Genomic DNA, 12,429 nt, shown 5'->3' with positions numbered 1-12,429 from the left:
GGGCTTAAGTGATCCACCAGCCTCAGCCTCCAATTGGCCACCATGCTCAACTAATTTTTGTATTTTTTGTACAGATGGGGTTTCACCATGTTGTCCAGGCACATGTGTTCTATATGTCTTTTTTTGTTTGTTTGTTTCTCTCTTTTTCCATTATTTTCTTCTTTTATGCTAAATAGATGTTTTCTAGTATAACATTTTAATTCCATTAATATTAATATTTCTTTAATTGTATTTTTACATTCTTTTCTTAATGGTTGCTCTGAGGATTATAACTAGTATCTTAACAATTTAGTTTGGATCAATACCAATTTAATGTCAGTGGTATATAAAATTTTGCTGCTACATAGCTCTACTTTTCCCCCTTTCTTTGTGCTCTTATATAAGAATAAATATTTACAGATTATAAGTCCATCAGCACCATTTTATAGTTGTTGATTTGTATAGTTACCTTTTAAATAAACAGGGAAAAAATTACAAACCAAGGGTATATTCATACTATTTTTTATGCTTATTTATATTGTTACGTCTACTGGTGCTGTTAATATTTCTTCATGTGGATTCTATTTATTGTCTATTGTCCTTTATTTTCAGACTGAACAACTCCGTTTAGCATTTCTTATAGAGTAGATTTATAAGTGACAAATTATTTCCATTTGTTTATATGGCAATGTCTTCACTTTTTTTTTCATTTTTGAAGAATAGTTCTGAAAATTATAGAATTCTTATTTGACAGTATTTTTCTTTCAGTACTTGGAGTATGTCATCCCGTTGCCTTCTGGAAACCATAGTTTCTGATAAGAAATCAATTGTTCCTCTTATCAAGGACCCCTGTATGTGATGAGCCACTTCTCTATTACTGTGTTCAAGATTCTCTCTTTATCTTTTACTGTTGACAACAATTCGATTATGATATGTCTGGGCATGGATAATTTTAGTTGATCTTACATACATTCTGAGTTTCTTTTAATATGTATAGTTTAATGATTTTCAAATGAAATTTTGAAAATTTGGTTACTGTTTCCTCAAATATTTTTTCTACTTTTTCTCTTTTACTTCTTCTTCTAAAGTTTTCATTATGTGGATGTTGGTACACTTGATAGCATCACAGGGACATTGGAGACTTTGTTCATTTTTCTTCATTATTTTTTCTTTATATTCCACAGACTAGATAGTCTCAATTGACCTGTCTTCAAGTTCACTGATTATTTATTCTGCCAAGTAAAATTTCCAATTAAGTCTCCCTAGCAGGGGAACAACACACAATGGGGCCTGTCAGGGGGGCAGTGGGAGGGAGAGTATCAGGATAAATAGCTAATGCATGTGGGGCTTAATACCTAGGTGACGGGTTGATATGTGCAGCAGACCACCATGGCACACATTTACCTGTGTAACAAACCTGCACGTCCTGTACATGTATCCCAGAAATTAAAATTAAATTAAAAAAAGAGAAAAATAAAGCATTTACAATACATTTTAATGTGTATTTAATATGTATTTTAATATGTTTTAAGCTCTCAATAAAAGTTGGCTAATTTTGTAACATAGAAAAAGTCTCCCTAGCAAATTTTTTATTTCAGTTATTGTATCTTAGAGCTCTAGAATTTCGATTTTTTAAATAATTTATATGTTAAGTTGATGTTATCTATTTGCTGATATATCATTCTCATGTTTTTCTTTAAATGTGTATTCATGGTTTACTTTTGGTCTTTGAAAATAATTGTAATGGCTTTAAATTATAATTTAAAGTTATTTCAAATTTTTGACTAGGAATTCTAATTCATGGACTTTTTCAGGGACAAAAATTATAATAAAAAAATTCATGACTGATTTTATCCCCTTGTTTTGGGGCCATATTCCCCTGTTTGTTTACATGTATCATGATTTTTTTGAAACTGAATATTTTAGATAATATGATGTAGCAACTCTGGAAACCAGATCCCATTCTTCACAGTTTGCTATTGTTCCTGTTTGTTATTGTTGTTCTTTGTTTCATGACTTTCCTGTAAGAACTCTATAGTTTCTCATGTGTAGTAACTGGTTAACATAATTGTCAGCTAATGACTAGACATGCATTTCCTTAGTATCTTGAACGAGCAACTCTCCCAGTCTTTCCTGAATAGTTCCATGTGTGTTAGGTGCATGCCTTCAATTTACTGGTAGGCAGTTGAAAACTCTGTTACCATTAATGTCCTGCTTGCTCAGATACTCAAGGTCAGCAAAAGTTAAAAAATTAGGACCTTTTCAGGTGTCTCAACTTCCTGCACATGTGTGTTGCCTTCTAGATTCTCAGAAACATGTTGGAGCTTTTCAAAGTCCTTATTGTGTTCTCAAAATGTCTATGTTGTAATTACAGTTAGATGAGATCATGTGACTGGATCCCTCATGATGAGATGAGTGCCCCCAAAAGAAGACACCAGAGAGCTTGCTTCTCATTCCACACGCATGCTCCAAAGAAAGGCCATGGCAGAGCACAGAGAGAAGGAGAGCTCCCACCAGAACCTGGCAAAGTGTGCTGCTGGCATGCTTGTCTCATAATTCTGCCCTCCAGGACTGTGAGAAAATAAGTTTCTGTTGCTTAAACCACCTAGTCTATGGTAATTTATTATGGAAGCCCAAGAAGACTCACACTAATTTTGGTACCAGGAAGTGGGGTGCTGATGCAACAAATACCTAAACATGCGTAAGTGGCTTTAGAAGTGGGCAATGGATAGGGGATGGAAAAGTTTTGAGGTGTATGCTAGAAAAAGCCAAAATTGCAGTGAAGTATTTAAGGCAGTTGGAGTGAGGGCGCAGAAAGAAAAGAGAATAGCTAAGGGGAATTATCTATCTTTCTAGAGATATAATAATATAATAAATAATCGTGAAGAGAATGTTGATATCAATATGGATGTTAAAGGCCATTCTGTTGAGTTCCCAGATGAAAATGAGGAAAAACATTACTGGAAAATGGAAGAAAGGTGATCCTTTTATAAAGTGACATAGCACTTGGATTAACCATGTTCTAGTGTTTTGTGAAATTGATATTTTTGACAAACAAACTTAGATAATATTTAGATAAGACTTTGGATTTTGCAAGTGATAAAATTAGATAATTAGCTAAGGAGATACCTAATCAAATTGTTGAAGGAGTGGCTTGGTTCCTCCTGTTTATGGTAAAATGTGAAAGGAGAGAGAGAAGTTGAAGAAGAAATTGTTAAGCATAAAGGAACCAGAGTTGAAGATTTGGAAAGTTTTCAGCCTATCTCTATTGCAAATAAATAAAAAAGCCTGTGGTGAAGACAACAGGAAGGGTGTGGTTGAACAATTATTTGATAAAGAGATCGTGGTAATGACTCATGGACTGAATCAGCCATCTCAGAAGAGGCCAGGAATAGAGATCAATTATACAAGCAAAAACACTGTCAATTTGAACTAAGGGGTCAGAAACAAATGAGATGAAATAAAGGCTGCCAGACTTTTAGATCTTGCAAGACCAGACCAGAGAGCTATTTGGCTCTAACTTTGTGCTTTTCAAGAAAATGAAGTAGTGACCCCAAAGGCAATTCAGAGATCATCAGGTCAGTGTCCTTTGTGGCAAAGGGTGGGACCATTGCCTCAGTTTCAATAGGCCATATGGCCTCTGACTAAAGCCTGGGGGTGGGGCCTTGGAGACAGGGCTGTGTAAAAGCCTGGAGGCAGGATCCACTATCCCTGTAGGTCTAGAATAAATGGCATTAAATGAAAAAGAGATATCTTGAGACTTAAGAGCTAATGGAATTTGCCTTGGTTGGTTTTAGACATTCTTGTGGCCTGTCTCTCCTTCCTTCTTTCTTAATTTTTCCTTTTGGAATGGGAATGGCTATCTCATGCCTATTCCACTATCTGTTGTAATTTGGAAGCACATAACTTGTATGGTTTTACAGGTTTACAGCTGGAGAATAATTTTGATTTTGGGGATAAGGCTTACTTATATTTGATTTAGATACTATTTAAATGAGACTTTGTACTTTAGAATTGATGCTGGAATCTGTTAAGACTTTTGAGGCTTTTGGGATAAAATTAATGTATTTTGCATGTGAGAAGGACATCTTGGGGGTCTAGGGCAGAATGTATGAACTGAATATATGTGTGCCACTCAAAGTTATATGTTAATATGATGATATTCAGAGATGAGGCTTTCGGGTGGATAAATAAGGTTAGATGAGATCATGTGAATGGGAACTCATGATGGGATTAGTGCCCTTAAAAGAAGAGATACCAGAGATGTTGCTCTGTCTCTGCATGTTAACCAAAGGAGCTCACAGTGAGAAAGAAGCCTGAAAAAGAGGCTTTACAAAAACTTCACCATGCTGGACCATTCTAGCCTCCAGGACTGTGAGAAAATAAATTTATGTTGTTCAAATGATCAGTCTCTGGTATTTTGTTGTGGCAGCCCAAGCACACAGACCCTATGGACAATTCATTCACCACATTTTCCATGTAAGGTTTTGGTCAGCTTCTTGTTTGCCCAAATTTTATAGATGCCTCAGGTAGCTGATATTAAGCAATTACCATGGATGGTTTTTGACCGATGTCCTGGGGAAAGGTTGTTTACAAGGAGTTATCTCTGAGTCCGGTCAAGTAAAGACAAGCCCTACTAGTAGAGGTTTCCAGGAAACTACCAGCCAGATCAAATAATAACAACTGGTAAGGGCACTTTTGAGGAGCTTCAAAACTGTTTTTCCCTCTCCTTTGGTTGGTAGGCTGCTGTTTTTTTTATGGCTATGCTTGTCACTGCTATCATATTTACCAAGCTGTTGGTTTTCAAAGCTATTGTGGAGCTGAGAAGAGAGGATGGGAGTAGGGCAAGTTAAAACACCAGAAAGGTCACTGTTCTCATTGAGATTCAGCTGTTTTTTCTTTAATAAAGAATCTTTGAATTTCTCTGTTGGTTAGTTGACAGAGTTCTTAAAATGTTGATTTAGTGTTTTCATTGCCATTGTGGAGGAGCAGATATTTGGAAGCCTTTCACTGCAGCATTCTTGCAATGTCCCCACACCCCAACTCAATTAATTTTTGTTGAGTATATTAATTTAATTGACTTTTCGTTGTCTTCCTAACATTGGTTTTATCCTTATCTATTAATGTAAGGTGGGATTTGGAGCTGATCTCACACCCAGATCCAAGGATGACCCCTAATTGTTCAAAGCCAACATTCTCACTCTGAACACTATTGAAATTTTGGGTCCAATACTTCTGTGTTGTAGGGGGCTGTTCTGGGCATTGTAGGATCCTTAACAATATCCCTGGACTCTACCAACTAGAGGCCAGTAACACTGTTGCAGTTGTGACAATCAAAAATTTTCCAGACATTACCAGATGTCCCCTGCTGGACAAAATTGCCTCAGACTGAGAATCACTGTTCTAACCACATTAATATAGTTTCATTATTATAAACACAAAAATTGATTCAGGTAAACAAAACTTATGTCCTAAAGCGTATGTCAATCCCCTGATCACAGTTATTAGTTCAGGAATGGAAATGTAACCAATTCAAGCCAGGGAGGTATGAGGGAAGGTTGCTGGAAACAACTAGAGGAAGTTTCTTTTTTTCTGTTTTTTGTTTGGGTTGTGTGAGGATGTGAAATCCATTGGATGACCAGCCTTAAAAGGAATCTAAAAATGACACATAACATGTGATATGTTTTGGATGTGTGTCCCCTCAACATCTCGTTGAAATGTGACCTCCAAAGTTGGAGGTGTCTAGTGGGAGGTGTTTGAGTCATAGGAGCAGATTCCTCATGAATGGCTTGGTACCATCTTTTTGGTGTTGAGTGAGTTCTCACTCTATTAGTTCACTCAAGAGCTGGTTGTTTAAAAGAGCCTGGCACCTCCTCCCTGCTCTCTTGCTCCCTCTTGCCATGTGATCTGTGGGCTCCTCCTATGCCTTCAACCATGATTGTAAGCTTCCTGAGGCCTCACCAGAAGCCAAGCAGATGCTGGTGCCATGCTTGCATAACCTGCAGAACCATGAGCCAAATAAAACTCTTGGTTATACATTACCCAGTCTCAGGTATTCCACTATAGTAATGCAAAGTGTGGTAATACAATGTGTCTGGCACTGAGTAGATATTAAGGGTCATTGTTATAGCACTGATTGGGCTTATGGCATGACCTTTACTCTTCCTATGAGACCTATTTTATTCAAACTCTTTGAACTTAAAGGTGCTCCTAAATGTTGTAAGGGATTCTACCTCCATAATACCTCTTTCAAGTTTAGTTCTTCTTTTTCATATCAACACTCTAATTCCCATTTTACTTCTTAATTCTTAATTGGTTAAGTGGAATTCTTTTCATAAAATGCTCTGATTTTTCCTCTCTCCACCTTATCCTGCCATCCTTAGTTATTTTCCTAAAGTGCACCTCTGATTTTATCACTGCTCTGTTCAAAATGTTTCAATGATTTCTTTACTATCTACCAATTAAACCCTATATCTCAGCCTGTTTTTCAATTTGACTAAAACCAACTTTTCAAACCTATCAACCTCTACTTTTCTTCTATGATCTAGTCTTTTAACCAAATGAGCATTCTCACAGTTTCCAGAGTAAGGTCCTATGTTTCTTGTCTCTGTTCTCTCTCTCTCTCTATCTCTCTCTCCCTCCTTTCTCTCTTTCTCTTTTTCTTTCTTTCTTTCTTTTCTTCTTTCATTCTTTCTCTTTCTTTCTTTCTTTTCTTCTTTCATTCTTTCTCTTTCTTTCTTTCTTTCTTTCTTTCTTTCTTTCTTTCTTTCTTTCTTTCTTTCTTTCTTTCTCTCCTTTCTTTTTTTTCTCACTCTGTCACTCAGGCTGGAGTGCAGTGGTGCAGTCTCAGCTCACTGCAACCTCTGCCTCCCAGGTTCAAGCGATTGTCCTGCCTCAGCCTCCCCAGTATCTGGGATTACAGCCATGTGCCACCATGCCCAGGTAATTTTTGTATTTTTGGTTGAGAAGGGGGTTTCACCATGTTGGCCAGGCTGGTCTCGAACTTCTGGCCTCAAGTGATCCACCTGCCTCAGCCTCCCAAAGTGCTGGGATTCCAGGAGTGTAGCCACTGCACCTGACCTCTGTTCATTTTCTTATGCTATTTCTGGCACCAATATATTAAAAGTAGTAATTATAATAAAAATACATAGCCTTTACTTAGCACTAGCCCTCTGCCAGATACTGTGCTTTATCTCATTTAATTCTCAAAACAAAAACAAGAAGAAAGAATGTGTTAGGTACTTCTATTTAGCCTGCTGGCACATAAGAGGAAATTACAGCTTGGAGAGGTTAAATAATATCCCAAGGTCACACAGATAATTGAAATAACCTGAAACTCAAACTCAGATCTTTCCACTTGTTCATATTTTTGTTCTTAGTCACAATGCTATATTGCTTTCACCTTACTTGTCTTTGTTGTCTCTCTCTGTCATTATCTGTTGAAATTGTTTTTTTCCCAGTCTAAATTTTTATGTTATTCATAACATGTGTTCTAGTCTTTTAACCCAGAAACATTTTTTTTGGCCTCTAATATCTCACTGACCCCAACAGAACACCTGGTACTTCATGATAGATAGCCAATATATGTTTTAAATAAAGGAGATGGATATTTAAGTTGGAGCCTAGGTATCTGGTTCTTGCATTTCACAATTGCTGTAAAGAGAAAAATAAAAATTGTTCAGTATTTTCCAGAAAATAAGCACTCTATAAATATTTGTTAAATTTAATGAATTGCTGAATTCAATAAATCAGCTTCTTAGGTGTCTACTTATCTTTCAACTGTCCTTATGCAGACCATAACTATATATGTAATAGCAAAATGTCAAATCATTTACCCATTATATGTGGAATACCCATTACTTTCTGTGTGGATTGTGCAGGTGAGCAGACCTGGGGGTCTATTTGTTCTGTAATTGATAGCGGAAAAGGGCCTAGTCTTAAATGTTTCCAGGGGAATTCAGAATTTCCAGCCACACAACCAACTGTAACTATGGCTTTTCTTCCACAGAGGTGCTGTTTTGTGGGCTTTCAGACTGAAAACAAATCTGTTTCATGGTATGTCTGTTTTGTCTGTCCTCAAATGTGCGTGGTACTTAAGAACAGCAAGGACAGGGCACGAAGGTGGAAAAGAGAGGAGAAGCAGCAGCAATGAGGAGAAGATGAAGGGCAATGATGGGGACTAGATTAAATTAAATGCCAGAGCTCCCAACCCTTAGAGGCTGTTGCGGATGCTGTTGCACTGAGTTAGCAACATAAATCAATAAGTCAGATCCGGCTGAACTCTGGTGCCCCACAAGTTCTATTCAAATCAGGAATTCTAGGATTCTGTTTTATAAAAAACTTTTTAAAATGTTTGGACATAGGTCATGTTATCAATAGCAGAGTTTCTCAAACAAGAGTATATGAACATTTTCCCTGTGCCTGTGTGTTATCCAAGAAAATAATCAATTTTGTAATTATACTTTGATTATAGCCCTAAAAAAGTAATCTATGCATGTCTGGGTTATCTGGGCCTCCTAATGCAGTTTAATCATGCAATTTTTGTAGCACACTTTTGATGAATTAATAATCTGATTAGACGGAGGCAGTGCTATTTATTTATCTTGAGTTAATGGGAAAAGGCTAGATTTGTCCTCCATATGTAACCGAGGCGTTGCTTGTGTGTCCCCCATATGTACTCTACCTAAATAACTCAGGCATGTGCCTATTTGTGCTCCATATGTGCACCACATGTATAACTCAGGTGTGTGTCTGTATGTTTTCCATGGATTATGTATGTAACTCTGATGTGTGTCTGTGTTTCCTGTGTGTGCTGTGTATGTAACTTATGTGTGAGCCTGTATGTGCACTACATGTATAACTCCGGTGTGTGCCTGCATTGCTTGCATATGTGCACTATTTATGTAACTCAAGTGTGTGTACATGTTTTATATGTGCACTGCATGTATAACTCAGATGTACGTGTGCATGTGTTTCCTGTGTGCACTAAACATGTAACTCAGGCATCGCTCTTATGTTCCCCCTATGTGCACTAAATATATAACTTAAACATGTATCATACCACTGATTTTACAAAAGTTGGAATAGACAAAAATGTTGAGAAAATTATATGTATAGACATGTCAAACTTTACGTGTGCATGTATACTATCATATTCACATTGAGAATTATAACTTACTTTCAGTGAAATAATGTGTTTATTCACATCAATGTTATTGATTTTTACACTACTTTAAAGATTTTTATTGCTTTTAATGTATAAATTAATTTTTAGTTTTGTAGTTGTTGTAAAAGGACCATGAGGATAGGGCAGGCAGATTATACCTAGTGGCATATATTAATATTGTTGTAAAAATAAGTTGTCAACATTGGCAGTCAGTGAGATCTTTTTCCTTTAAAAGAGATCTTTACTAAGTTTGAAAACAAAAAGAAAACTATACCATTTGATTTCGAAGTACATATAAGTTCTAATCTGTTGACCCCAATAAGCCATCTTAAGAGAAAATATTTCTGTTACCTAGGGAAATGCTGCGCTTATAAGTGGCAATATTCCATTTATTATTAGAGTAGCTGCTTTCTGTTTTGTAAACTATCAGCTTTAGTTATTGAATCATATATATATATTTTTTTAACCTGGAAAAAAATCACATCATGTTAATGCTGGTAAATTTTTGAGCTGCACTCAAGGAAATGTGCCCAGGCAATGAACTTTGTCCAGACTGGGTCACCAGATCTATTAAATATACTTTTATTATTATTATTTTCATTTGGATAAATACAGCATGTTAATAGCATGAAGAGGCCCTATCAAAGACTTTTTCCTTCTTTTGGTATGAAAGGGTTAAACAGTGACTTCACAACGTCGCAGTCACTTCCACATGTATTATCTCATATCATCGCAGTAATGCTGTGAAGATGATGTCATCTCAGCTCCACACATGACAGATTTGTGAGCCAAGGGACTGAGTGAATTGTGCCAATCATAAATCTGGTGGATCCATCTCCAAATACAGGTGTTCCAACTTCAAGCTTTGGGCTCCTTTCACTATATCATGTGGCTTCTCTAAATTAAATTTAAACTAATTTCCTGATAGATAAATTTATCTAGAGAAGGTGTAATATTAACTCATATGGAGATCTTTAAGAGATACATTTCTCATCCTGTATCTGATATAGTTTATTATTGTGAGTATAGAATATGCATATATTTCTGCTGACTGCCAGAAAAGATTTAGATAAAACACGAGAATATAAAACAGGTCCTTTAACATGGATTAAAATGTGAAAGTCAAGTAATAGAGGAAGAAAATAAGGCTCCGTCTTCAAGAATTTATGCCACCATCTCTTAATTTCTCTTTCCACTGTGTTGTGGCCTTTCCAAAATCAATACAGTATAAATAAAAATATCGTTTTCCTGTTACCTTTCTTCTCATGAACATAAGGCCTCAGAACTATGAAAGAAAATGGATGAGAACAATTCCTTTTTATCTTTTGTTTTTTTCTTATTATGATGATTATGTTAGCTTTATGTTCTTTCTGAGCTTAAAGATGAGGCATGTGCTTTGTAGAGAATTTGGAAAAATATGAAGAATCAGGAAATGTGTTCATTATTCCAGCAATAGTAATTTCTTAGTGTATTTTTAAAAATAAATTTTTAATTTACCTGAGAACATATGCTTTCTTTACTTGACATTTTTAATGTTATTAAATTTCCCTATATTATTAAAAAGCTTTTATGTTTAATGGCCACAAAATATTCTACCATATTGATATATTCTGTCTTATTTAAGCATGTACCTAATATTGAATACTTGAGTGATGTCCAATTTCTCACTGTTATTATAAATGATGCACGTCTGTGCATAACTTTTGTGGGCATTTTGGCATATGGTAGTTTCTAAGAAGAATTAATAGGCCAAAAGAGATGAATATTCTAAATTATTTTGATGAACATTACCAAATTTCTTTCTGAACTCTCATACCAACCCATACCCCTATCCACAACATCAGAGTGCGTGTATTTCACTGTGCCCTCATCTACACGGATGTTCTTGTTAATTTCTTTCATTTGATAGGCAAATGCTGCATCACATTGATTTAATTCGCATTATTTAAAAAACTGAACTATTACTGCTCGTATTTACTAGTCATTTCTATTCTTCTTTTGAAAATTGTCCAACTAATCTTCTTAACTCTCCACTATCATTCATCACCACTTTACTTCAGGAAAATAGAATCACAAAAATTAAAGACATTTACAGCTGCAATCAGCATGATCAATCTCTCACTATACATGTGAGTCTAGATAGATTCAGGGACTGGACCACGAGCCCATCCCTGGGATGCTGAGTGACTGAGTAATATGTGTCTCTAAGCCTTCTGCCTGTCTTTATTGTCTCCTCCTCCTTCTTTTTACTGCCCTCCCCCACCTTTCTTCCATGCACCCTTCCTTGTGATGATGTTCTCTCCTCAGTGTCAACGTTTTGACATCTTTGTAGTATCCTGGGATTAGTAGGCTTGCCTGTGAATCTAGAAACGGAAGTCAGTACTGGCCTTTATTCCAGGTTGTCTGATGTCCCATCCCCACCTTCTCTTACCCACAGCTGTGTGTCTACGAGTACAGCAGGGGCTCCATTACCAAGTCCCCTGAGTGACTGGAACTCAGTGATTTCACAAGACTCCTGCAGAATGTGCAAAGAAGGCTAAGTGTTCTATTTGTTGTATTTCTTGATATTTACTTAACCTCCTAGAAGGACATTCATGGTTAAAATGTACCCAGCACCCTGTATGATGAGCCAACTGGGTGAGCATCTGTGTGGTTCCTGGTCAGTCCTCACAGCAACACTGCAAAGGATATGCGATGGTTCTTATTTTACATCTGAGCCCTAGGGAACTGTGTCCCACATCTTAGACTATTTTCCCACCATTACATAGCTAATAAGGAGAGAGGGCTTGAATCTAGGTCTGTCCGATTCCCAAGTCTGGCATGGCCTCTCTGCTATATTTCTTTGCCAATCTGGCAGTGGGTAGGGAAATCTCAGCTTGTGCCTTTTCTATGCTAATGTGACCCACAGACTGACTCACATGGGGTGGGAGCAAAGGTTAAGTGCACCTTCCATTCTGACAGCAAATGACTGAGTTCATTGAGGAACAGGGGCAAGTCTGGGGTTCTTATTCCCAGCGTATGGTAGACACTTGACAACTATTTGTTATTACTGAATGAAAGATGCTTTTCATTAAGCTACATGTTTCTCTCATGTAAAAGTAGGGTTAACTAGTCTATATGGCAGGGACGATCTGGCAGTACTTATCCTGCTTTATAATGACTTTGTCTTTCTTTAGCAATTGATTTATGCTCTCTTAACTTTCCATTCTTCAAAATGAGGCTACCAAACTGCAAGTGTTGTGATTAAGATGAATATGTTTTGAACTCGTAGAAAACATGATTAA

The 12,429-nt window shown here is 36.6% G+C and overlaps 1 protein-coding gene across 21 annotated transcripts in view, besides 1 other annotated feature; it reads left to right on the top strand.

The window, feature by feature from the left end:
- The window catches only part of FGF14 (fibroblast growth factor 14), a 691,640-nt gene that overhangs the window by 206,727 nt on the left and 472,484 nt on the right, over positions 1–12,429 (top strand). For 3 of the 21 annotated variants that reach the window (NM_001321944.1, NM_001321936.1, NM_001321932.1), the window contains exon 2: positions 2,354–2,680. The exons of 17 other annotated variants lie outside the window; for them this stretch is intronic. In NM_001321944.1, the coding sequence (NP_001308873.1) occupies positions 2,677–2,680 (4 nt within the window). In that variant the 5' untranslated portion in view covers positions 2,354–2,676. The remainder of the gene's footprint in view (positions 1–2,353; positions 2,681–12,429) is intronic. One more of the 21 variants, NM_001321931.1, reaches the window with a different exon arrangement.
- Positions 2,819–4,018: an enhancer, noted in NCBI's record as "MED14-independent group 3 enhancer chr13:102844049-102845248 (GRCh37/hg19 assembly coordinates)". NCBI's record gives its function as "activates an origin of replication core promoter dependent on BRD2, BRD4, P300/CBP and CDK7 cofactors, and independent of MED14, by STARR-seq in HCT116 cells {active_cell/tissue: HCT116}" and the evidence as "EXISTENCE:reporter gene assay evidence [ECO:0000049][PMID:35650434]".

This window comes from Homo sapiens, chromosome 13 (genome assembly GCF_000001405.40).
Source record: "Homo sapiens chromosome 13, GRCh38.p14 Primary Assembly".
In the NCBI taxonomy this organism is placed as follows: domain Eukaryota; kingdom Metazoa; phylum Chordata; class Mammalia; order Primates; family Hominidae; genus Homo; species Homo sapiens.
The sequence above is the reverse complement of the archived record's forward strand: the minus strand, read 5'-3'. Positions and strand labels throughout refer to the sequence as shown.